A 26,576-nucleotide genomic window follows, 5' to 3' on the forward strand; every position below is an offset into this window, starting at 1 on the left:
TCAGCTGGCTCTGAGCCCAGCCCCTGTGCCTCCCCTGTCCCTGCCTCTGCCTCTGGGCTCCTTGGCTTCCACCCTCCTGTCCTGCTGCCACACTCACCCTCCCTGCTCTGCTCCCGGCTCACCTGCTGTCCTTGGTCCTGGCTGAGAGGAGGGCCCCACGGCCAGCACTGCTGACCCTGCCCTGGGCTCCGGTGATGCTGCCGGCCTGGACAAGCCCCTCCGTTCACCTGGGGCCTCTCCTCCTCCCTCGCTCTGCTGCCTCCTGAGCTCAGGTCGGTCGTGCCCATCCTGGCATCACCCCACGGCCGGCTCTGCCGCATCCAGTCATGTTCCTCGTGCTCCCAGCCCGGTCGTCCTGGAGGCCTCAGTCAGCCTCTGGTGTGTCCTGCCCTGTTGGCTTGGAAGCCCCTGCCCACGGTCCCCGTCGTCTCGCACTGGGTGGGCATCGGTGCCTGAAGGCTGCCCACCTCCCCCGTGCTGGCTCCGCTTGGGCCTCCATGTGGGGCCGGCCTCGACCCCATGTCTCCCCAGCCTCTTGGAGCCTGTTCAGCATCTCAGGTCCAGGAGCGCCCACGGCTGCCCCCAGGCTCTGTCCTCCTCCCGAGCCTGTGCCCCTGCCCTGTGCTGACCCCACTCACCGAGGTGGGGGTCTCAGCCCTTCCTGTTCTGGCGAGGTACATGTGGGCAGCCCCGCCCCTGCCGTCAGCCGCTATTTGTCTTCCTAGGAAATCACAGCTCGGCCCCCAGGTCCCCAGGTGTGTGAACTCCACGCTGCAAAGACTAAGAACAGGATTGAAACCGGCGGCACCACTTACTTCCTGAAGTTCCCTTTTCTTCTGGTGGTTTCTGGGTCAGAGGGCGAGGGGGAGTCCAGACACAGCCGAGGCTGCCTCATGGGTGTGTGGGGATGGGGGTGGTGGCTGCCCCCATACTCCCCCGTACTCACGGGAGAAGGTGGGGAGCCCAGACCTTGTGTGCTGCTCTTTTCTCTGTCTCTGAGTCCCTGGGGCTGGACTGATACTGGCAGCGATTATGACCATTCTGCCCGTGATCTCAGCCTCTCAATACCTGGGCCTCTCATCTGAAGCTTCTGGCCCCCACTAGGCCCTGGTGGCTGCTTTGGCCTGGGCGTGTCTCCAGCTGGCTCTGACTCATGGTGCAGGGAGGGGAGTGTGAGTTCATCCTGCTGAGCAGCTGGCAAAGGCGAGCTGGGATGGAGATGGGAAGGCATTCCAAGGCTCAGGGCTGAGCTCACAGGCAGGGGCAGGTCTGGCTGCAGGGAGAACGTGTGTGCTTGAGACCAGGAGGGTCCCAGGGCTGGCCAAGTGGACCCTGCACAGGAAGGCCTCTGAGGCTGGTGCTCCAGAAGGAACAAGATGGGCTGCCAGGAGCCAGGGCCACCAGCTGTGCTCCTGGGGGCCGAGGGGACTTGGGACAGGTGGATGAACACACTGAAGCTGAGTGGAGGTGGTGCAGGGCAGTGTAGCAGCAGAGGGGAGCCAGAGGGGCCCATTCAGGGCCTGGGCAGAGTTGGCCAGAGCCTGTGGTGCAGGTGAGGGGAAGGGGTTGGGGGCAGGGCCCTGGGGCTGAGCAGACGGGATAGCCTGGCTAGGGACAGGACACTTAACTTCCTCAGAGGTCAGGGGCACACCCGAGTTGCAGTGGGACTCCAGGGCCACTGGACTACAAGCAGAGAGAGAAATGGGGCCTCCCTGGGGACCGGGGGATGCTGGCACCATGCAGGGTGGGGAGGTCCAAGGGCAGGTGCTAGGCTCCTACCTGTGCTGGGGGAGCCTGGACTGAGATCAGGAGGGACCTTGCCAGGCCGAAGCTCTAGAGAGAGGGAGGAGCTGGGCAAGGACGATTGTGGAGGTGGGAGGTAGCAGGGAACGGGATGAGGATAGAGGGACTGGGCAGACAGAAAACCCAAGGAGGTGTCGCACAGGAAGTGTCCAGAATGGAATAGGAATTGTGCGGAATGGAAAAGGAAGCATCCAGCATGGAACAGGAAGCATCCAGAATGGAACTGGAAGCATCCAGAGTCAAACAAAAAACATCCAGCATGGAACAGGAAGCATCCAGGATGTAACAGAAAGCATCCAGCATGGAACAGGAAATGTCCAGCATGGAACAGGAAGCATCCAGAATGGAATAGGAAGCATCCAGAGTGGAACAAGAAACATCCAACATGGAACAGGAAGCATCCAGAATGGAAAAGGAAGCATCCAGCATGGAACAGGAAGCATGCAGAGTGGAACAGGAAACGTCCACCATGGAACAGGAAGCATCCAGAGTGGAACAGGAAGCATGCAGAGTGGAACAGGAAATGTCCAGCATGGAACAGGAAGCATCCAGCATGGAACAGGAAGCATCCAGCATGGAACAGGGAGCATCCAGAGTGGAACAGGAAATGTCCAGCATGGAACAGGAAGCATCCAGGATGGAACAGGAAGCATCCAGTGTGGAACAGGAAGCATCCAGAGTGTAACAGGAAACATCCAGCGTGGAACAGGAAGCATCCAGTGTGGAACAGGAAGCATCCAGCGTGGAAGAGGAAGCGTCCAGCATGGAACGGGAAGCGTCCAGAATGGGCACTTTGAAGGGAAATCATGTCCCTCCCACTAAATGTGCTCTCCACAAGGACCCGGCCTGCCCTTGTGACCCTGCTGGATCCCTGAGCTGGCACCAGCCCTGCCCTCAGAGAGAATGTCCAGGAGACAGGTGGAGGTGCACGTGTGGGTCCCTGGGGAAATCCATCCTCCAGCCGCAGGCTCCCAGTCGGCTCCCAGCCTCTCGTTCCAGCTTCACCCCATGGAGCTCATAATGGGCTCAACCTCCCAGGCTGGGGGAGGACGGAGTGAGGGGTCCCCGCACTGCCCATGGCACACCCAGGGGGCTGGGGAGTCTGCACTGGGCTGGGGCAGGGAGGCCTCGTGCAGCCTGTGGGGCTGGCAGCTCAGGACAACACTCGTATCCGTTAACTGTGGCCCTGGCAACACAGCACCCCAGACTGCGTGGCTTAAACAACAGACGTTTATTCCGTCCTGGTTCTGGAGGCCGGGCATCTGGGATGGAGGCCTCGGTGGGGCTGGCACCTCTGTGTCATGGGAGACTCTGTCCCAGGCTCTCTCCCTGCTGCTGGGCTTTGCCGGCCGTCTCTGCTGCTCTTGGCTTATGGAAGCAGCACCATCTTCACAGGGCGTTCTCCCCACGTGCTGTCTGTGCCCAGATTCCCCCTTTTCATGAGGACAGCAGTCATATTGGATCAGAGGCTTGCGCTACTCCAGGGTGACCTCATCTGAACTTGATTGCAGCTGCAAAGACTGTTTCCAAACAAGGTCACATTCTGTGGTCCTGGGGGTTAGGACTTCAACACATGAATTTATAGGGGACACATTTTAACCCATGACAGTTTGCCCTCCGCTCCCCCCATAATCATGTCCTTCTCACACGCAAAATCCCTGCACCCCATAGCAACATCTCCAAGATGGCTAACCCCTTCCAGCACCAACTCTTAGTCCACAATGTCAGAGAAACATCACCTGCATCAAGTGTGGCAGAAACCCAGGGTGAGATTAGGAGAGAAACCACAGCGGGGTGGCGAGCCTCCTGCCCCCTCCGGCCCAGGTGAGGCCGTGTGCACTGTGTGGGTGTGCCTGGGGCTCCACTTGCCCCTCCCATGTACCTGCTCATTTTCCCCAGGCTGTGGGCATTTGGGGCAGGGGCCTCAGTGCCTGGTCGGCTCTCTCCCGGTTCTATCCAATGCCCCAAGCTGTGCTGGGCTGGAGGGGCCGGGCAGGGTGGGCCCCCAGGAAGGAGGATGGCATCCCAGGTGGGGCTCCATCTCTGGCCTCTGCCAGCCTTGAGATCCCCGGTCGTCTGTGTCTCCCTCCTGGGGCCCAGCAGGCCTGCTCAGCTCTGAGCCCCATGTCCGTTCTCACCCTGCTCTGCTTTTCCTTGGGGTGCTGGCCCTGCCCTGGCCTCCAGAAATGGCCCCTGCCCCCACCCCTTCCTCAGGGGCTGGGCTGTTCCTCTCCTGCCAGGCGTGTGCCCACCTAGGCCCAATAGGCACAGTGCCTACGGCCCCTCCTGCCCTCTTCTGGCCTTCACGCCCAGCCATGCCGGCAGCCCGCCTCAGTGGCCTGGGCCTTCGCCAGCGCCTGGCTCTGTGTCCAGCTGCCACTCCTGTGGCCCCGTGGTGCTGCCCCTTTCCCTCAGTGACGGGGGCTGGACTGCCTGGGAATGGGCTGTGTCTCAGCTGCACACACCTGTGTGTGTCAGTGTGCGCATGGGAGTGTGTGTGTGTGCTGGGGGTATGTGCAGGAATGCTTGTGTCTGGGGGCAGGGGGAGCATCTGCCTTCCTGCCCCAGGCCTGGAATGGCCATGCCAGGGTGGGTGGGAGCAGCGCGTGCGAGGACAGTGCTGCTTTGACGTCTGCGTGTGGCTGGTGGGGGTGGGAGGACGTGGTGTGGCACGAGTCTCGGGCTCCCCATCTCCATCCAGCTGATCCCGGATGGCTGCGCTCCTGAGGGTTTAGAGCAGCCCAGGGGGTCAGGAGGCTGTTGGGACGCTGGAGGCAAGCGCTGGCAGGGATGCGGGTGGGCTGGCCAGGCAGCGTGGCCAGGGGGCTTCGAGCCGGGGCAGTGAACCATCCCCCAACTTTTTAAAGTTTTAAAAGTCATATTTACGCAAGTGTAGTTTACATTCAGTATAATCCATCCTGTGACATGTGAGTTTCAACAAATGCACACTCATGCAACCACCACCGTAATCCAGATGAACAGTTGCAAGAAGATGTAGAATCTCTCCAAATATTCCACCAGGCCCCTTTGCAATCAACGCCTCCCTGATGGCCAGGAATCCATTGATCTGCATTCTGTCAGAAGATTCAGAGTTTATCATTAAAATGATCTATTATGGAAAATATTATAAGCATACAAAACACAAAACCAAGTTTTAAAAAGTGAGGTATTTCTTAAAAGTTTAGTATACAAACAAAATGAAGGTACCTTCACATTTTACTACAGATGTGCAGATAGTTTTCTTGTTGCACAGAGATAAGGCAGAATTAAGTCAGAATAATGTTCTAAAACTGACCTCCGGAAGAACTTGTCTTAGTCATTTCTTTGCAGAGTATGTGAACCAAGATTCGGGTTTGGTCTTTGGTGTTAGCACTGTGTCAAGGATCAGATAGAAAGTACAAATGGAGGGGCCCCTTTCTGAGGCCAGGCCCCACTGTCGGGGCATGTGGGGTGACCAGGGGCCAATACCAGCTGAGGCTAAGAGGCTGCTCTCAGAAGGGTAGGTTTCCAGGTGTCTCTTGAACCCTTTGTTCAGAACCAGGACATGTGTGGCTGGGCAGCAGCCTTCAGACCCCCCACAGGCTGGTGCCCGGTGCCCACAGCCCTCTGTTGGGTTGTCAGGCCCCTGCACCCGTGGTGGGGTGTTGGGCTCCAGAGTTCCCTGGGACCAGCTGATCTCTTGTCCTTGGTTTTGGCCCAAATGCAAGCCCCTGGTCTCCTCCAAGTAACTTCCTTTCCCCAGGGCTGTCCAGGCCCCACCGCTGCCTGTTCCTTCCCAGGGCCTCCCGCAAGTCCCGATGCTGACGCCTCTCTGCCCACCTAGTTTGTGGCCGCCGCCTCCAGCTCTGTGTCTGCCTCCCAGCGAGGGAGCCGTGGTTGATTATCTCGTGAGTGTCTGCCCTTCTGAAGGGTACAGTGTGAAGTCTCATCAGTCTCACTTCAATGCCTAAGCACCTCTTCAGAAACCAGGGAGTCATCCGGGTTTCTCCATCTTTAACCATGTTTTCTAAAGGTTTTCTTGGCAATTTCCTGGCCATTTGCAAGACAGGATTTTTTGGTTGCCAACTTCCAATTAGCTTTAAACTTGCCACGATCTCCCAGGTCATCCCGTCCATCGATGATGCTTATTACATTCTTCCTGATTTCCATGTGGCCAAATTCAATAGTTATTTACCCCAGGCTTGTATTTTGGAGGCTAAAGAACTCTGTTACCAGCTATATCCGTGCTGTGGCTGCCGTAACAAAATATCACAAATGTGGCTTAAAACAACAAAAATTTTTTCAGAGTTCTGGGAGTCAGAAATCTGAGATCAAGGTGTTGGTGGCTGTCTCTGAGTGCTCCAGGGGAGGACCGTCCACCTCTTCCAGCTTCCTGTGGTGCAATAGTTTGGATGTGCGTCTCTCCAAATTTCATGTTGAGATGTGATTCCCAGTGTTGGAGGTGGGCCTGGTGGGAGGTGATTAGATCATGGGGCTGGACCCCTCATGAATGGCCTAGCACCATCTCCCAGGTGATGAGCGAGTTCTCCCTCAGTTAGTCCCTGTGACAGCTGGTTGTTTAAAAGTCTGGGACGTGCCACTTTCTTCTCTTGCTCCCTCTTGCCATGTGACATGCCTGCTCCCCCTTCGCCTTCTGCTGTGATTGCAATCTCCCTGAGGCCTCGCCAGAAGCAGATGCCAGGGCCGTGTTTCCAGAACGGCCTGCAGAAATATGAACTAATTAAACCTCCCTTCCTTCCTTCTCTTCTGCCTTCCCTGCCCTTCCCTTCTGCCCTGCCCTTCTGCCCTTCTGCTCTTCCCCACCCTTCCCTTCTTCTTGTCTTTTCAAGACAAGTTCTCACTATGTTGCCCAGGTTGGTCTCAAACTTCTGAGCTCAAGTGATCCTCCTGCCTCTGCCTCCCAAAATGCTAGGATGACAGGTATGAGCCACAGTGCCTGGCCTAAACCTCTTTTCTTTATAAATTACTAGCCTCATGTATTTTTTTTTCTAGTAACACAAACTAACACAGAAATTTGGTATTGAGGAGTGGAACATTGCTATAAAGATACCTGAAAATTTGGAAGCAGCTTTGGAATCAGGTAACAGGCAGAGAAGTTAGAAGAATTTGGAGGACTCAGAAGAAGACAGGAAGATGAGGGAAAGTTTGGAATTTCTTAGAGACTGATTAAATGGTTGTCACCAAAATGCTGATAGACATATGGACTGTGAAAGCCAGGCTGATGAAATCTCAGATGGAAATGAGGAACTTATTGGGAACTGGAGTAAAGGTCACGCTTGTTAAATCCTAAGAAACAACTTGGCTGCATTGTATTCATGCCCTAGGGATCTGTGGAAGTTTGACCTTAAGAGTGATGACTTAGGACATCTGGTGGAAGATACTTCTAAGCAGACATTTCTAAGGTGTGACCTGGTTGCTTCTAACAGTCTATGGTAAGATATGGGAGCAAAGGAATGACTTAAAGTTGGAACTGATATTTAAAAGGTGCAAATGAAAAAATAAAATGCTAATGCAAGGGGATTCCAAAGAAACCTGGAAAACCAGTTCAGGCCATGACAGGAAGGGGAGGGTGGTTTGGACTCCCTCACTATACCCTCTCCCTGTTGGAGTTTAGGCTCAGCTGACCGGTGTTAACATTAAAACAGGGAGCTTAAGACTGACAAAGCAGACTCTTTGTAGCAATAAGATATCAAATTCCAACCTGACTCTGGTATAGCATCACATGACAGTTGGCAGGCATGGAAGGAAATTAAAGTATTTTATGCCAGAATATATTTCTCTGACACATTTTGGAATGGCCCTGCAAAGCCGTCTCTTGTGGAGGAAATGTATATTCTGTCGAGAATCTTTTTCCCTTTCCAGGTCTCTTCCTGATTCAGGAGAGATTTATCCAAGAGTCTGGCACCTTTTAGGTTCTGATAAGAGACATTGACCATCTCTTCTCTCTGGAACGTGGAGGCTTCATCTACATAACAAGAACCTTGGCTTCCACAACCTGCTTTATCTTAAGCATTGCTTTTTGCTGACTTCAACTTTTTAGATAATTTAAATTTTTCAGCCAATTGCCAATCAGAAAATCTTCAAATCCACCTATGATTTGGAATTCCCCACTTTGAATTGTCCTGCCATTCCAAACCAAACGAATGTATACTTTACATGTATTGATTGATGTCTCATGTCTCCCTAAAACATAAAACCAGGCCGCAACCCAAGCACCTTGCACACATGTTCTCAGGACCTTTTGAGGCTGTGCCACAGTTCATGGCTCTCACATGTGGCTCAGAATCAATCTCGTCAAGTGTTTTATAGAGTTTGGCTTTTTTCATCAACAAAGGGAAGCAGAGCATAAAAAATTTGGAAAATTCATGGCCTGGCCATATGGTAGAAAAGAAAAGGTATTTTCAGGAGACAAATATAAGTAGGCTATGGAGCAGCCAGTTGCTAGAGAGATTAGCATAACTAAAAGGGAGCTAAGTGCTCATATCCAGAACAAAGGGAAGAAGGCCTTGAAGGCATTTTGGAAATCTCTGAGGTGGTCTTTCCCATCACAGGCCCAGAGGCCAAGAGGGAAAGGATGGTTTTGTGGGCCATGGCCATGGCCACTGCTGCCTGTGCAGCCTTGGGACACTGCTCTCCACATCCTGGTTCCTCTGGCTCCAGCCTTGGCTCAAAGGGCCCCAAGTATAGCTTAGGCTGCTTCTTTGGAGAGTGCAAGCCACTATAAGCCTTGGTGACTTCCATCTGGTGTTAAGCCTGTAGGCCCCCAGAATACACGAGTGAAGGAAGCTTGGCATCTTCCCTCTAGATTTCAGAAATGTATGAGAAAGCCTAGGTGCCCAGACAGAAGCCTCCTGCCAGCATGGAGCCCTCACAGAGAACCTCTACTAGAGCAGTGCCAAAGAGAATGTGGGGTTGAACCCCCATATAATGTCCCCACCAGGGCACTGCCTAGTGGAGCTGTGGGAAGGGGGCCACTGTCCTCCAGACCCCAGAATGGTGGATCCACTGGCAGTTTGCACCCTGAATCTGGAAAAGCCACAGGCACTCAACTCTATCATGTGAGAGAAGCCACAGGGGCAACATCCTCCAAAGCCACAAGGGTAGAGTTTTCCAAGGCCTTGGGAGCCCACCCCCTGCACCAATGTGCCCTGGATATGGGACATGAAGTCAAAGGAGATTACCTTGGAGCTTTAAGATTTAATGACTGCCCTGCTGGATTTCTGACATATATGGGGCATGTAGATCCTTTCTTTTTGCCAACTTCTCCCTTGTGGAATGGGAATGTTTACGCAATGTCTGCACTCTCATTGTATTTTGGGAGTCAATAATTTGTGTTTGATTTCATAGGCTGATAGGTGGAAGGGACTCATCTTCAGATGAGACTTGGGACTTGGGAAATTTGGGTTGATGCTGGAATGAGGTAAGACTTTGGGGGACTGTTGAGAAGGCATGATTGTATTTTGCAACATGAGATTTGGGGGACCAGGGGTGGAAGGATATGGTTTATATATTTGTCCCCTCCAAATCTCATGTTGTAATATGATTCCCAGTGTTGGAAGTGGGGCCTGGTAGGAGGTGATTAGATCAAGGGGGAAGATCCCTCATGAATGATTTAGAATCATCCCCTTGGTGATGAGTGAATTCTGCCCCAGTCAGCTCACACACAGTCTAGTTGTTTAAGTCTGGGGCCCCCCCTCAGCCTCTTGCTCCCATTCTTGCCATGTGGCATACCTGCTCTCCCTTCACCTTCTGCTATGACTGTAAGTTTCCTGAGGTCCTCGCCAGAAGCAGATGCTGGTGCCATACTTCCTATACAGCCTGCAGAACTGTGAGCCAATTGAACCTCTTTCCTTCATAAGTTACTCAGCCTCAGGTATTTCTTTACAGTAATGCAAATGGACAAACACAGGTGGCTCCTGACACACCGCTCATCTTCTCCTTTGTCATCATATGGCTTACCTCCATGTATGTCTTTGTCCTCTCCTCTTATGAGGACACCAGTGTTTGGACTTGGGATCCATCCAAAATTTAGTATGATATCATCTCAAGTCCTTAACCTAATTTGTAAAGACCCCATTTCCAAATAAGGTCACATTCTGAGGTTCCAGGTGGGCATACATTTGGCCAGGGAGATGCCATCAGCCCACCACACCAGCCTACGCAGGTACATTTGCATATAGCTTAGGGTTGACCTTTCCCATGGAAGTATTACATCCCCCTCTGGACTCCAGTTTCACATGTTTTAGAATGCTTCACCTTGTCCAGCAGGATGAGTCTCTTTTCATTTTTTAGTATTTTTCTCTCTCTTCTTTGGATTGGATTAAAAAGAATTGACATATTCTATTGATGCATCTTTAAGTTTTCAGTTCCTTCTTATGTCTTGTCCAATCTGTTATTAAACTTGGGTAATGTTTTTCTCTTTCTTTTCTTCTTTAATAAAATAGAGATGGGGTTTCACCATGTTGCCCAGGGTGGTCTCAAACTCCTGAGATCAAGTGATCCTTCCATGTTTGGCCTCCCAGAGTGCTAGGATTACAGGTATGAGCCACTGGGCCTGGTCAAATGATGTTTTTCATTTCCGAATCATACTCTTAGTTCTAGAATTTTCATTTGCTTCTTGTAACTATTTTCAGTTTTTTATAGAGATACCTCATCTAGTCACTCATGATAACCATATTTTCCTTTAAGTCTTTGAACATATTTAACATAACTTCTTTAAAGTCCTTGTCTGATAACTGTATCTGCATCTAGGTCATCTTGGAGTTGATCTCCATTGATCCCTTTTTCTTTTAACTATGGATCACATTTTCATATTTCTTTGCATACCTGGTAATTTTGGATGTGCACCTGATGTTGTTAACATGTGTACAGGCTATGGGGTTTGCATTCTTCCTTAGCAGAACATTAATTGTTTTTTTCAATGTTAGCAAGCAGTTAGCTTGAGTTGACTCAAACTCCCCAGTCTGTCTGCCTGGCAGTTGGCAGTAGCTGGAATCTCAGTTCTCTTGACCTTACACGTGTTGCTTTCTGCTGGGCCCTTTGGAGTTTTCCCTACCCATGCACACCTAAGGGATCAGCCAGAGGTTTCAGTGGAGTTTACTTGCAGATTGTGGGGTTTCCCTTCGGTGACCTTCTCCTTTATGGACATCTTCTCTTCATTTCCAGCTGCTCTGAAAATGTAGCCCGGCATCCCACTCCTCACCAGGAGGGCTGCAGTTTCCTGCTTGAACTCTAGCTGTACCCATTACATGCCCTGGAGTGTGACTTCAGACGAATATTTAACGGAATAATCCTTACTAGTGTTTGCCTACTTCTGGTCATGTTCCAGTGCCTGCAATTGGTGTGTGTGGGTGTTGTGTGTGCTTACAGCGTTTCTAGTGTTTATAATTGCCATCTGCCAAAGGGCTAGTCTGATATTAGCTGCTCCAGAATTATTGGAATCAGAACTACTTTCTCTCATGTGGTTTTTCATTTTCATTTCCCTGTTGACTAGTGTGGTTCAACATCTTTTCATATGTTTAGTGGCTATTTGGATATCTTCTGTAAAACATCTGTTCAATTCTCTTGCCTATTCCTTGTTGGATTATTTGATTTTTTTTCTCATTGGTTTACAGTGGTCTTCTTTATATTATGGATCTGTTTGTGTCAGTCAGTTATATATGTTTATAGGAAGCATTAAGAAGAACTGAAATGGACCAAAAGATTAGTAGGTGCCTTCCATGGAAAGCAAGGCATCGTCTTGTACACTCTTCCAAGTTATTTCATTCTATGGAGCTCTGCATCTTTTATTTCCTTTGAACTATTTTACACCTCTATAAGCCAGGGGTCCCCAACCCCTGGGTCATGCACTGGAATCTGCTCATGGCCTGTTAGGAACTGGGCCACAGAGCAGGAGGTGAGGGGTGTGTGAGCATTCCTGCCTGAGCTCCACCTCCCGTCAGATCAGTGGCAGCATTAGATTCTCATAGGAGCGAACCCTATTGCGAGCTGCACATTCCCAGATCTAAGTTGCACACTCCTCGTGAAATCCTAATGCCTAATGATCTGAGGTAGAACAGCTTTGTCCCCAAGCCATCCCCCGATCCTGGTCTGTGGAAAAATTGTCTTCCATGGAACTGGTTCCTGGTGCCAAAAATGTTGGGGACTACTGCTCTAAGTTGTACATAATTGATAGCAATGCAAAAGCTCTTTGAGTTGGTAGAAATTCAAGTTCTCACCTTTGGAAGGACAATGAATTGCTCCTCATCTTCCAGGGAAAAGGCCAGTTTTGCATCTATCTATGAACTCCTTTTAGCATTCCTGAATCAATTATGTAAGTGTAGTACTTAGAATTCCACTTTGAACTGGTTACGACACCTTAATTAATGAGATAAAGAGCATCTCTGAAATGTGTCGTCATATGTTTATGTGAGTCCTGATCATAACAGTTTTAGAAAATGATCTTTTAACTCGTTGTGATTTCTTCTCCCTCATGGCCCCACCCAGCCGCAGTATCCAGGGAGCTTAGTTTTCTGTGGCCCAGGAGGGCAGGAGAACCGGTGTTGATGAGGAGATCTGAGGTTGGCCCCAACTTTTCCCCACAGCTCTGCTTCAAGGAGTGCCCTGGGAAGGCCTCCCAACCCCACACCTGTCCTGTTGGCCAAGGCGAGCTCCATGCCATGTGGCATCTCTGCCGCTGGCCACCTGGTGAGTATCTGTTGAATAGAGAAATGTGCAGCATCTCCACAGAGCCTCCAGGGCTTCTGTGCTCTCCAAACATCTCTGGGCTCCTGGCACCCTCTCAGGGTATGATGTGTTGGTGTCTGGGTTGGGCCCCTGTCCCTGAGGGTAGGACTCAGGCAAGGACAAAGCTCTGGACTCAAAGAGCTGGTGTGGGGGTGAGTGAAAGGAACAGGAGCTTTGGGGTCAGAAATGCGGGTTTCAGCCTGCATTGTCCCCATGAGCAGGGGCTTGCAGGCTCACCAAGACCTCAGTTTCTACCATGGTGAGAGAGTGTCAGAGACTGCAGCACGTATTTGAAAAGCGTCCAGGGACGGCAGGGGTCTGGGTTGGACCAGCTCTCCTGAATACTGAGGGTGCGACCTTGACCATTGTGAAAGGAAAATAAAATCTCAGGACTCCAAACTCACTATGCCAAAATGAACAGTTGAGGTGGGAAGCTGAGTCATGAAAAAAAAAAAAAGTCATGCCTTTCCTTTTGTTTCCAAAGTGATAGCAGCAGCAGATAGGCCAGGTCTACCCAGGTGGCCTCCCTCACCCTGAGAATATAAATTAACAGGCCGGTCTTCATGACATGGGACAAAATGAGACAAGAAATCGTTCCTCCTACCCCTGAGACGAATGCATATTTGACTTCTTCCTCTACTCTGTTTATTTGCTTATAAAGTGCAGATTTACTGAGCACAAGGCGAATGCGTAATTGCTCCCTCCACCCCTCCTTTTCATGCAACGTGGGGGCTCAGTGAACTCTAATCAAAGCCTCACAAGAATGTGACCCTCCCCTCTTGCTTTTTTCTCTTTCATCTTTCCCCTCCTCCAGCTTTTCCCCTTTTCAATATTGAAGCAGGTCGTAGTGTGACTCTGCCTGGGGTCAGGTGTGGGGTGGTCCACATGGACAGTGAGAAGGTGGTCCCTGCCCGTGGTGGTCCGGGTTTCCTGGGAGATGGCCAGACGTGGATTCTGAGGGGAAGAGGCCAGTGCAGTTGCTGGACTGGAGAGAGCATGTCCATTGTGCTGAGCGGGCTGGGAGGGATCCACAGAGAAGACGGTGTGGCTCAACAGCTGGCACCGGGGACGGGAATGTGGGTGAAGGGCCTGGCACATGGAGTAGCTCAAGGCGTGAGACTGTGACCCACCTGGGGAGCCCGTGCATGAGTGCACTGGGTGGGTGCTGGGGTTGCAAGTGCGTGTGTCCCTGTGTGAGGACCGTGTGAGTACCCGTGTGTGCCACATGGCCCCCGTGCGTGGCAGGCATGTGCAGCCTGAGTACCATACCAGACGGGGCGTTCTGTCTCCTCCAGGCCCGGCCCTGCCATGTGAGCAGGGAGCTTCCCCATGGGACTGATGTTCTGTCTCCTCCAGGCCTGGCTCTGTCCTACCATGTTAGCAGGGAGCTTGGCCATGGGAGTGGTCGGCACAGGCATGGCTGTGCCGGGCCTCACTGGCTGGACTCGGTGGGGACACCATACCCCTTGCTGAGTGTGGGTAGCAGAGTTTGAGGTGCCTTCTGGGAGGTGTTCGGGCAGAGGCAGGGTTGGGAGTGTGTGGGGAGATGGGTGTTCAGCTAGCCTCCTTCCCTGTGCAGGGGCTCAGCTGAAACCTGGGCTCTCACTCCCCTCACCCCTGCCTCCCCAGCATCCTCCCTCTGCCCCTCTCTTCAGCCTGCCTTGGGCCTTGCTCTGAGACCGCTGCTGAGAGGACAGGAGGAGCTTCAGCAGCACCCTGTGCTGGGTGGACGCTGAGGTCACTGCCTTGCTCTGTGTCTCCTCACAAGGCCACGTGGTGGCAGGTCCTTCTTGCAGTCTAACCAGAGTCCTGCTTGCTGCTCTGCAAGCCCACTTGGGTCACGTGGGGCAGGGGCACCTGGCAGGGTGGGCTTCGTGGACTCAAGGGCCACCAATTCCTCCAGGTCAACATGCTCAGATGGTTCTATTCTCCCCCTTCCCTTGGCTACAGGGACCTCTGTATCCTGGGGTGGCCACAAATGTCAGAACACAGGAGTCACACCAGGAATGCCACACCATGTCACACCACATCTCATTATGTCACGCCAGGGATGTCACGCCACATCATACCATGAAACTTATCATCACACTAGGGATGTCGTACCCTGCCACACCCCATCATACCACATCACACCACCTCACACCAGGGACATTATACCATGTCACACCACATCCCACCATGTCACGCCACCTCACACCACATCACATTATATCACACCACGTCACACTATGTCACAGCCTGTTACGCTTCATCACACCACATCACACCAGGGATGTCACACTGTGTCACACCACATCCCAGCATGTCCAACGCCACCTCACACCAGGGACATTACACCATGTCACACCACATCACATCACCCCTCGGATATCACACCGTCATACCACATCATACAACATCACACCATGTCCTGTCGCATCATGCCACATGACATCCACGTCACACCAGAGACATCACACCACGTCACACCATGTCATGTTACATCACAGCATGGACTGCTGGGGTATGTGCAGGGGCCGCCCACAGTGCAGCCTTGCTGGAGAGTTGAGGGAGGGTCCTGGGGCTGGGCATGGTGTTCCCTCAGGAGGGCTGACCCTCTGGAGGATGCTCGGTCCCAGGTGGAAAGGGGGCGGTGGGCCCCGGGTGGCTCAGGGAGGGGCCCAATTTCCCCAGGGGAACCTGGTCCAGGCGCCAGGCCCTGCAGGGGCAGGAGCTGCAGGAAGCATCTGCTTCTTCCCAACTCAGCCTGCTCAGTGCACGGAATGACCCGGAGCCCGGCACCGTCCTGGGTTTCCTTTCCTTATCCTGGCCAGGCCGTCCATCCTCAGACAGTGGACTGGAGCCCACCCCACCAGGGCACCCGGAAGCCCGTAGGGCCCCTTGAAGGGCAGAGGGTGGAGATCTCTCCAGCAGGGTCCCTGAGGGCTGGCACCTTCTCTGGACAAAGCTCTCCTGCATCTCTGGGACGCCATCCTTGGGCTTGGGATAGAGCCGGTGATGCAGCAGCTGCCCGCCCTGCACCCCAGGTGCTGTCTCCCTCACCCCCCGCGGGGCTGCAGCAGCGTGTCCTGAGAGTTAAAGGGCTGGGCTTCAGCACCCAGTTCAGGCCAGGCCCCCTGGAGCCCACCCTCCAGTGGCGAGCCTTCCCACGGCATGGCAGGGCCTGGAGTCTGGGGATTTAGTCCCCAACTCTGTGTTTGGTGAAGCTCCAGCTGCTCGATGCCACACAAACGAATCCAACCACTCCTCCTTCCTGGGTGAGATGGTCTCTCTCCTGCCACAGGCAACTCCGACGGCATTTTCCAGCCACCGCAGCCACCGCAGCCACTGCAGTAACAAGACCCTGTCCTTGACTGAGTTCCAGCCAGGCTCCTCGGAGCCTCTCCACTCGGCCTCAACCTTGGCTTGTAAAGACTTGAGCAGACACTAACAGTTTCTAACAGCTTCTGGCCGTACCCCTAGGCCGACCCCTGCCCCGTCAACACCTGCCTGAGAAAGCTCCGTGCACCAGAACTCACCGTTTGGACCAACCCCGACCTCCCTTTCTCAGGGTATCTGCTGAGAGGGCCGCAACCACACGTCCTTCTGTCTGTTCCCGATGTCTGTGCATTTCCTGTGACCCAGGAGGGTCTTTCTCGGGACCTGAGAGCCGCTCCCTGAAGTGTCCCCATTGGGAAGGATGGGGCCTGTGTCTCCAGGCTCTGGGAGGACAGAATCCTGACCTCAACAGTGGCCGGCACGGACACAGCGGGTCCCATCCCGGGGACGCTGACCAGCGCTGGGCAACTTTTCCCTTCCCCGACGACTGAGCCCCGAGCACCCACCCTGCTCCCCCTACCACCTCCCTTTACAAGGCTGTGGCCTCTGCACAGATGAAGGTGAGTCCAGGTCATGCCGGACTCTTTCTTCTGTTGCAATAGTTATTTCTGTTGAAAATCCGTCCTTGCTACATGACCTAGTGCCCAGGGGGATGCTGAGACAGGATGAATGTATTCTGCATGTGAGAAGAACATGAATTTTGGGGGCCAGAGTCTGGACTGTGATGGGTTAAATCGTGGCCCCTACAAATTCATATATTCAAGTCTTAATCCCTGGCCTCACAATGTGACTATTTGGAGATGGGGTCTTTACAGAGGTCATTAAGTTCATAGGGGGTCACTAATCTAATCTGATGTGTGTTCTTATAAGAAGAGAAGCTTAGGACACGGGCACACAGAGGGATGGCCACGTGAGGACCAGGGAGGAGACGGTGTCTACAAGCCAAGGAGAGAGGGCTTGAGAGAAACCAGCCCTGCCTGCATCCTGATCTCAGATTCCTGGTCTCTAGGCCTGGGAGGATCCATGTCTGCTGTGGGAGCCGCCCCGCTGTGGTCCTGAGCTGACGCACACAGATCTGACACCCACCTCTCGCTTCGGACCATGGTTGGTTCTGGAAGGCCCTCCCTGTGGCTCTGCCTGGCCAGCCTGAGCCAGCTCCCAGCCTCGACCCAGCTTTCCCTGGAGGCCCTGTCCCCCGCAGAGTGACCAGGGCAGGCAGCACCGTGCCCAGCAGGAGGAGAAACTGCATCCATGTAGAAAAGAGGAGAAGCCCCGGGGGTCCATGTAGCGACAGGGGCCAGGGAGGGTCGCTCGGGCAATGCGTGTGGCTGCAGGAGGCGGGGGGCGTATGCAGGGAGCCCCCGAGGTGCAGCTGGACCAGCCTCCTCCTGAATGTGCTTCCCACCGGGGGCAGGAGGCGCGTGGACACAGGAAGGCGGCTCCCATCACGAAGTACAAGACTTAAAAAGGATATTTTATTGTCATCACAAAAGAAACATCAAAGACAATTAATGAGCTTTAGAAAATTTAAAAGAAGAAGAAAAGCTACCAAAGCTGAAATGGTGGCACCTCCTTCGAGTGAGCCCGGGAGTCCTCCCTGACGGCCGAGGCAGGCGCTGGCCGCAGTCCCGCTCGAGCCTCCCTTCCTGTCTGCGGATTCTGCGTGACAGTCACGGAACGGCGTGATGGGGGCAGCAGAGCGTGGGGGCCTCTGTCCAGCACTCGTGGCCAGCAGCCCCGCTTTCGCAAGAACACGGGCACCCTCTTTGGCATCTTGCCTCTCCACCTGGTGCCCCCAGAGTGGCTGCTTGTTCCTGCTGCACGTGACCCGGGGCTGGACGCCAGCCTCTGTGATGAGTTCTGGCTGTGTCCACGCTCCTGGCTCTCCCGGTGTCCCTCCACCTCTCTCCCCGATGCTCCTGGGCCTCCTCTGTCCTCAGGCCCCACCAAGGCTGAGTCTTGCCCGCCTGGGACCTGGTCACCAGCCTTCTCTGGGAGGCCTGTCTGGGCAGATGCCCAGCCCTTCCTTGGGCTATCCTCACTCTTGCACTGTGGGGCTCCTGCAGTGGCCACATGGCCCAGGCTCTTCTCTGAGTGATCTCGGTGGACTGGAGTGGGTGGGAGGTGGCAGTGTCCTGGGCCTGGCCCCTTCTCTCCCCAGTGCGGACTCTGGGGCTGGCTGTCCCTGCGGGTCCAGTTCCACCCGAGAATCCAGCAGTGTAGGCAGGCAGCCAAGGGGTGGTGCTGGCACCGAGACTGTTCCCAGGAGCCAGAGAGCAGCGTTCTTTGCTTGAAATCAGAACAACCTCATTCCTCATGTCAGGAGTTCACGGGAGTGCCCGGAATGGAGGCTGGCTGGCTGCGGGCTGGGAGGAAGGCCGTCTGAGTGAGCCTTCGCAGCTCTCGGAAGCCTCCCCAACAGGGCCTGATGGTGCTGTGGCTTCCCTACCTTGGCGGCTGATGCTCCCACTCACCATCTGGAAACCACGCCTGTGTTCAGGAGGCTGGCGTGGACGGGGTTGGCTCCAGGGCCAGCTCCTGCCTGGGTGGGGGCCTCGGATGCTGGTCACTGCCTCCTTTTGTGTGAGCATCTGGCGGTCTGGAGGGCAGGGACATCCTGCTGAGGGGACACCTGGTCCCCAGCTCCCTGCATGCACCAAGCAGCGGAGGTCTGGGGTAGACCTGCTATGCACAGGGTCTGGAAGGGGGGCGTGTCAGGGCTCAGAGGGCGACTGCAAAGACAGAGAGCCATGGGGTTGAGGGCGGTGAGGTCGGGGGCAGTTGTGGCCTGGGTGGTGGCTGAGCATGGCCCACGGCTCGTGTGTGGGATCTGGGTGGCCCTGGACACCCCGCAGAGGGTGGCCCTAGGCCCCCTGCCCAATCATGTTCCTATAGTCGGGGATGATGGTCTGCTTCAGGTCCACCACCGAGGAGAAGATCCACTTCACCTGTAGGCAAGGCACAGCACAGGGGTGAGCGAGGCCACAGCCCTGCCCCCGAGGCCTGCTCACCCCTCAGGCCACCCAGGCCACAGCCCTGCCCCTGAGGCCTATCCGGCCCCTCATGCCACCCATGTGCCAGGGCCTCACCACTGCCTGCTCTGAGGCCTGGACATGGAGAGCAGAGCCAGGGCAGCAACAGCATGTGGACAGCACAGAAGATAGTGTCAGGTGGGGACAGCACGGGGGACAGTGTCAGAGACAGGTGAGGACAGCATGGGGGACAGTGTCAGGGACAGGTGAGGACAGCATGGGGGACAGTGTCAGGGACAGGTTGAGACAGTGTGGGGGGAGAGTGTTGGGGACAGGTGAGGACAGTGTGGAGGAGAGTGTTGGGGACAGGTGAGGACAGCATGGGGGACAGTGTCAGGGATAGGTGGGGACAGCGTGGAGGACAGTGTCAGGGACAGGTGGAGACAGTGTGGGGGAGAGTGTTGGGGACAGGTGAGAACAGCGTGGAGGAGAGTGTCAGGGGCAGGTGGGGACAGCATGGGTGACAGTGTCAGGGAGAGGTGGGGACATCATGGAGGACAGCATCAGGGACAGGTGGGGACAGTATGTGTACAGTGTCAGAGATGGGTGAGGACAGCATGGGGGACAGTGTCAGGGACAGGTGGAGACTGTGTGGGGGACAGTGTTGGAGACACGTGGGAACAGCATGGGAGAAAGTGTCGGGGACAGGTAGGGACAGTGTGGGGGACAGTGTTAGGAACCGGTGGGGACAGCATAGGGGACAGTGTCAGGGAGGAGTGGGGACAGTGTGGGGGACAGCATCAGGGACAGGTGGAGACAGCGTAGGGGATAGTGTTGGCTACAGGTGGGGACAGAGTGGGGGACAGTGTCAGGGAAAGGAGGAAACAGAGTGGCGGACAGTGTTGGGGACAGGAGGAAACAGCATGGGGGACATTGTTGGGGACAGGAGGGGACAGCATGGGGGACAGTGTTGGGGACAGGTGGGAAAAGCATGGTGTACAGTGTTGGGGACTGGTGGGGACAGCATGGGGGAAAGTGTTGGGGACAGGAGGGGACAGTGTGTGGGACAGTGTTAGGGAGAGGTGGGGACAGTGTGGGGGACAGTGTCAGGGGGAGGTGGGGACAGTGTGGGGGACAGCGTCAGGGACAGGTGGGGACAGTGTGGGGGACAGCATCAGGGACAGCTGGGGACACCATAGGGACATTGTCGGGACAGATGGGGATGGCATGGGGGACAGTGTCAGGGACAGGTGGGGACAGTGTGGGGGACAGCATCAGGGACAAGTGGGGACCACGTGGGGGACAGCGTCAGGGAGAGGTGGGGACAGTGTGGGGGACAGCATCAGGGACAGCTGGGGACACCCTGGGGACATTGTCGGGACAGATGGGGATGGCATGGGGGACAGTGTCAGGGACAGGTGGGGACAGCGTGGGGGAGAGTGGTGGGGACAGATTGGGACAGTGTGGGGGACAGCATCAGGGACAGGTGGGGACAGCATGGGGGACATTGTTGAGGACAAGTGGGGACAGCGTGGGGTACAGTGTCGCAGATGAGTGGGGACAGCATGAGAGACAGTGTCAGGGACAGTGTCAGGGACAGGTGGGGATAGCATGGGGGACAGTGTCAGTGACAGTTTGTGACAGCATGGGGGACAGTGTGAGGGACAGTTTGTGAGAGCGTGGGGGACAGTGTCAGGGACAGGTGGGGACAGCCTGGGGACAGTGTCAGGGACAGTGTGTGACAGCATGGAGGACAATGTCAAGGACAGCTGGGGACAACGTGCGGCCGACCTTGAAGAAGGTGACGGTGGCACTGTAGCACACGCTTAACAGGAAGAGTGTGATGAAGATGGTGATGGTCGTCCACAGCCCGTCCAGCTCCCCGTCCTGCGCCTCCGCACAGCTCTCCTCCAGTTGCAGCTCTGGACAGGAAGAGGGTGGTCAGTGCTGTGTCCTGCTGGGCTCGGGCCTCTGGGGGTGATTCCCTCTGTGGCAGGACCCAGGATGTAGGGCCCGGCCGGGATGGGCCAACAGTGTCCTGAGGTCAGCTCCCCACAGCTGCCCGCCCTGGGCACCAGCTTTGGCCCCGGGACTCAGCCACACACCCGGCCCTAGATAGCGACCTGGCCCTCAGCAGGACCCACTCCCCGTCTCCCGTGTCCCTCCCTGAGGCCCAGAGGGCAGGAGGATGGTGAAGCCCACACCTCATGTGACCCCAGCTGCAGGGAAGGGCTGTATTGGGAAGTGGGCCAGTGCCAGGGACGCGACGTGGCGTGTGTTCCCCTGTGTGTGGGGGCCTGTGTGTGTGTGGCGGCTGCAGGGGCACCTTGTGAGAGGAGGGCTGGGTTTGTCTGAGCTGGTCAGCATGTGGAGAAGCTGCCGAGCGGCTCGTGGGCCTTGAGGTGCCGCGTGGGGCTCGTGGGGGCCTGTGTCCGAGGAGTGTTCACGTGTGCGAGGACCTTGCTCTGGTCTGGGTGCTGTGCGGTTCGCCCGGGTGAGGCTCCGTGTGTGAGGCGTGCACGTGTGTGTGTGGTGGCCGTGTGGCCGGCCAACCTCAGTGCGGGGTTTGTTGAACGGGTCTGGGCTGAGTGTGTGTGTGGGCATCTGGACCAGTCTCTCCACAGGGCCCGAGAGTGCATGTCCCCGGAGTCGGTTGTGTCCCCATGCGGGTGCGAGGCTGGGCAGGGCTGCCAGGGGTTAGTGCCGTGGGGGTAGATGGGTGAGGGAGGGCCTGTCCCTACGCACATGGACTAGGCATGCCCCCGAGTGGGCATGCGGGTCGGAGGACAGGGCGCTCACAGGACAGGACAGTCTCCTACAGAGGCAGGGGCTGTGTGTCTGTCCCCAGGGGCTCCTAGGGCTTCCCGTGGCCCAGCCCAGGGCAGCTGCTGCTGGAGGGAGGGCCACGCTGGCAAATCCCCCACCCTGCCGAGGGCAGCCCCTGGCTGAGCCCCACCCTAGGCGGCCCAGGCACACCTGCACAGCCTGGGCCAGTGTGGGGACAGTGGGACCCGCTCTGCCTCCCTCATGCCACTCAGGCCTCAGACTCGGCCTGACCCGTGGAAAGAACCATCACAGTCTCGCAGGGGCCCAGGGCAGCGCTGGGTGCTTTATTTCCATGCTGGGTGCCCGGGAAGTATGTACACGGGGTACGTGCCAAGCATCCTCGCGCGACCCCGAGAGCCCGGGGAGCGGGGGCTTGCCGGCCGTCGCACTCATTTACCCGGAGACAGGGAGAGGCTCTTCTGCGTGAAGCGGTTGTGCAGAGCCTCATGCATCACGGAGCATGAGAAGATGTTCCCCTGCTGCCACCTGCTCTTGTCCACGGTGAGCTTGCTGTAGAGGAAGAAGGAGCCGTCGGAGTCCAGCATGGGAGGCGTGGTGTTGTAGTTGTTCTCCGGCTGCCCGCTGCTCTCCCACTCCACGGCGATGTCGCTGGGGTAGAAGCCTTTGACCAGGCAGGTCAGGCTGACCTGGTTCTTGGTCATCTCCTCCCGGGATGGGGGCAGGGTGTACACCTGTGGTTCTCGGGGCTGTCCTGTAGGGACAGAGGTTGGCACAGCGGTCACTCCCAGGGCAGAGGGTGGGTCAAGCTGGCCTCTGTCCATGTGGCCCTCATACCCCGCGGGTCCCACCTTTGGTTTTGGAGATGGTTTTCTCGATGGGGGCTGGGAGGGCTTTGTTGGAGACCTTGCACTTGTACTCCTTGCCGTTCAGCCAGTCCTGGTGCAGGACGGTGAGGACGCTGACCACACGGAACGTGCTGTTGTACTGCTCCTCCCGCGGCTTTGTCTTGGCATTATGCACCTCCACGCCGTCCACGTACCACTTGAACTGGACCTCGGGGTCTTCGTGGCTCACGTCCACCACCACGCACGTGACCTCAGGGGTCCGGGAAATCATAAGGGTATCCTTGGGTTTTGGGGGGAAGAGGAAGACTGACGGTCCTCCCAGGAGTTCAGGTGCTGAGGAAGAGATGGAGGCAGATGTGTCAGCACCCGACTGGGACCTGTCCCTGGATGCAGGCCACTCTAGGGCACCTGTCCTGCCTTGAGCTGGAGGGCGAGGCCTGGGCTGGCTTACCTGGGCACCTTGGGCACGGGGGAGGTGTGTCACAAGATTTGGGCTCTGCAGAGAGAAGATTGGGAGTTACGGGGATCTGGGATGGAGGTGGATGCGTCAGCACCCTGCTGGGGCCTGTCCCTGGACTCAGGCCACTCTAGGGCTCTTGTCCCGCCTTGAGCTGGAGGGCGAGGCCTGGGCTGGCTTACCTGGGCACCGTGGGCATGGGGGAGGTGTGTCACAAGATTTGGGCTCTGCAGAGAGAAGATTGGGAGTTACGGGGATCTGGGATGGAGGTGGACGCGTCAGCACCCTGCTGGGGCCTGTCCCTGGACTCAGGCCACTCTAGGGCTCTTGTCCTGCCTTGAGCTGGAGGGCGAGGCCTGGGCTGGCTTACCTGGGCACCGTGGGCACGGGGGAGGTGTGTCACAAGATTTGGGCTCTGCAGAGAGAAGATTGGGAGTTACGGGGATCTGGGATGGAGGTGGATGCGTCAGCACCCTGCTGGGGCCTGTCCCTGGACTCAGGCCACTCTAGGGCTCTTGTCCCGCCTTGAGCTGGAGGGCGAGGCCTGGGCTGGCTTACCTGGGCACCGTGGGCATGTGTGAGTTGTGTCACCAAGTGGGGTTTTGAGCTCTGCAGAGAGAAGATTGGGAGTTACTCAGATCTGGGAAGAGAGAAGGTATCTGAGCTGAGTGAGTAGAGAGTTTGGCCTTTGGGGTGGGCTTAGGTCAGGGGCAGGGTCCTCCTGGATATGGCTCTTGGCAGCTCTGAGCGCAGCACCTGCCCCTGTGTGTGAAGGGCCTGGGGTAGGGGCATCCAGCCTGTGCCTGCCCGGAGCCTGGTGGAAAAAGCCAGAAGACCCTCTCCCTGAGCATGAGTGGGGCGGGCAGAGGCCTCCGGGTGAGGAGTCAGACGGGGCCTGCCTTGGTGCCCTGGGCTGGGACTGCACAGCCGGGATGCGTCCAGGCAGGAGGGCTGAGCCTGGCTTCCAGCAGACACCCTCCCTCCCTGCGCTGGCCTCTCACCAACTCTCTTGTCCACCTTGGTGTTGCTGGGCTTGTGATTCACGTTGCAGGTGTAGGTCTGGGTGCCCAAGCTGCTGGAGGGCACGGTCACCACGCTGCTGAGGGAGTAGAGTCCTGAGGACTGTAGGACAGCCGGGAAGGTGTGCACGCCGCTGGTCAGGGCGCCTGAGTTCCACGACACCGTCACCGGTTCTGGGAAGTAGTCCTTGACCAGGCAGCCCAGGGCCGCTGTGCCCCCAGAGGTGCTCCTGGAGCAGGGCGCCAGGGGGAAGACCGATGGGCCCTTGGTGGAAGCTGCAAGAGAGATGGCGCCATGTGACTGCGGTGTGGGACAGAGCTGGGCCCAGGGCGCAGAGGCCCCTCGGTTCTTGTCTATCCACGAGGGTCCAGGCAGGGTCCAGTGTCTGGGCTCACGGGCATTGGGTGTGCGCCTGGCTGGCGCCACCTGCCTCACCTTAGCCCCCTCCCTGCCCCAAAGCCAAGGTCAGGCCCGGCCCGCCCCAGAAAGCTTGCAGGACCGGTGGCCCTGTGGTGCCCTTCTGCAGGCACCCCTGCAGCCTAGGAGGCGGGGCTCGGCAGCCAGGTCAGCGCTCTGTGTCTGCCGGGAGTCAGCACAGTCCAGGGCCTCTAGCTTGGCCTCAGCTCTGGCCATCGGTGCCACCTCAGGGACGGCTCATGCCCATTGGCCCCACTCCAGCCTTTTATGGGTGCCTGGCTTGACCAGTGGACACTGTTCTCAGATGGCTTCTCGTGGGTCCCCTGAGTCCCCTGAAGCTCCTGACCCTGCCGCCCCAGCGTGGCCCTCCGCTAGTGAGTGGGCCTGACTTGCCCAGGGCCCTGGTCATAGCCTGCCCTCTGCCCTCCAAGGCCCTTTTCTTCTGTGCAGCAGAGGGGCCAGACACTGCATAGGGTCGGCGCCCTTCAGCCCCAGGGCCCCGGAACCCCCTGCCTTGGAATATCGCCCCGGGAGCCTCCTCCTCAGCCTCTCCCCTCCTTTCCCCTTAGCCCCAGTGTGCAGCAGCCCAGGTCAGGGCCCTGAGTGCCTGGATGCCCCCTGCCTCCCAGTGTCCTGCATTACTTCTGGAGGCTCAGTCACCACACCGTCACCCTCCCAGCCCTGGCCTGGCCTTCTCAGCCACCAGCCCACCTCCTCCCTCTCTCCAGAGCTTCCCCCGGCAAGGTCCCTGCTGGGCTCAACCCAGGCCCCCCAGCACAGGTAGGAGCCTTGCACCTGCCCTTGGCCCTCCCCACCCTGCGTGGTGCCAGGACCCCCAGGCCACAGGGAGGCCCCATTTCTCTCTGCTGCTGGCCCAGTGGCCCTGGAGTCCCACTGCAGGTGGGGTGTGCCCCTGACCTCTGAGGAAGCTAAGCGCCCTGCCCTCAGCCAGGCCATCCCCTCTGCTCAGCCCCAGGGCCCCGCTCACCACCCCTTCCCCTCACCTGCACCACAGGCTCTGGCTGACTCTGCCCAGGCCCTGAATGGGCCCCTCTGGCTGCCCTCTGCTGCTACACTGCCCTGCACCACCTCCACTCAGCTTCATTGTGCTGATGGTCCTGGCTCCTGGCAGCCCATCTTGCTCCTTCTGGGGCACCAGCCTCAGAGGCCTTCCTGCCCAGGGTCCGCTGGGGCCAGCCCTGGGACCCTCCTGGTCTCAAGCACACGTTCCCCCTGCAGCCACACCTGCCCCTGCCTGAGAGCTCAGCCCCGAGCCCTGGAACGCCTTCCCTTCTCCATCCCAGCTCGCCCTTGCCAACTGCTCAGTGGGATGGACTCACACTCCCTTCCCGGCACCAGGAGGCTGCACTGCACTTTCACCAGCCCTCAGCTGTCTGCTGCCGGCAACTACCCAGCTCCTGCCAAAGTCTAGGAGCTGCGTGCTGCCTCCCACCGTCCCTGCTCACCTGTGGCTGCTCTGCCCTGGTGCTCTGAGCTCCAGGAGATGCCCCCTGCTCCTCCTGCCCCCCACCTGCCCCTGCTCACCTGCAGCGGCTCTGCCCTGGTCCCCTGAGCTCCAAGAGCTGCCCCCTGCTCCTCCTGTCCCCTGACCCTGCTCCTGTTTGCCTATGGCTGCTCTGCCCTTGTCCCCTGAGCTCCAGGAGCTGCCCCTGCTCATTCTGCCGCCCACCTGCCCCTGTTCACCTGTGGCTGCTCTTCCCTGGTCCTCTGAGCTCCATGAGCTGCCCCTTGCTCCTCCTGCTTTCCACCAGCCCCTGCTCACCTACCGATGATCTTCCCCGGCTCTCTGAGCTCCAGGGGCTGCCCACCTGCTACCCCTGCTTCCCACCAGCCCTGCTTACCTGCAGCTGCTCTGCCCTGGCTGGCAGAGCTGCAGAAGCTGCCCCCTGCTCTGCAACCTCCCACCGGCCCTTCTCATCTTCTGATGTTCTCCCCTGTTCCCTGAGCTCCAGGAGCTGCCCCCTACTCGTTCTACCTCCCACCAACCCGTGCTCACCTGCGACTGCTCTGCCCTGGTCCCCTGAGCTCCAGGGGCTGCCCCCTGCTCGCCCACCTCCCACCAGCCATGCTCACCTTCTGATGCTCTGCCCTGATCCCCTGAGCTCCAGGACTGCCCCCTGCTCGTCCTGCCCCTCACCTGCCCCTGCTCACCTGAGGCTGCTCTGCCCTGGTCCCCTGAGCTAAAGGGGCTGCCCCTTACTCATCCTGCCT

The 26,576-nt window shown here is 56.9% G+C and overlaps 1 long non-coding RNA gene, 1 gene segment (V, D, J or C) and 1 further gene; 1 reads left to right on the forward strand and 2 right to left on the reverse strand.

Annotated features, from left to right (window-relative positions):
- Positions 1 to 26,576, reverse strand: part of IGH (immunoglobulin heavy locus) — a 1,293,408-nt gene that overhangs the window by 160,767 nt on the left and 1,106,065 nt on the right.
- On the forward strand, positions 12,290 to 18,793 carry LOC105378184 (uncharacterized). Its single transcript, XR_001751029.3, has 3 exons — positions 12,290 to 12,489; positions 15,735 to 16,406; positions 16,856 to 18,793. It is a non-coding gene; the product is annotated as an uncharacterized LOC105378184 (long non-coding RNA).
- Positions 18,711 to 24,202, reverse strand: IGHG3 (immunoglobulin heavy constant gamma 3 (G3m marker)). 2 transcript variants are annotated; one of them is given in 9 exon segments: positions 18,711 to 18,794; positions 20,610 to 20,740; positions 22,042 to 22,356; positions 22,454 to 22,783; positions 22,902 to 22,946; positions 23,090 to 23,134; positions 23,278 to 23,322; positions 23,466 to 23,516; positions 23,909 to 24,202. In that variant, coding segments are annotated over 9 exon segments (1,340 nt in total), but the record flags the coding sequence as incomplete, so codon positions are not given.

This window comes from Homo sapiens, chromosome 14, assembly GCF_000001405.40.
Source record: "Homo sapiens chromosome 14, GRCh38.p14 Primary Assembly".
Taxonomy (NCBI): Eukaryota; Metazoa; Chordata; class Mammalia; order Primates; family Hominidae; genus Homo; species Homo sapiens.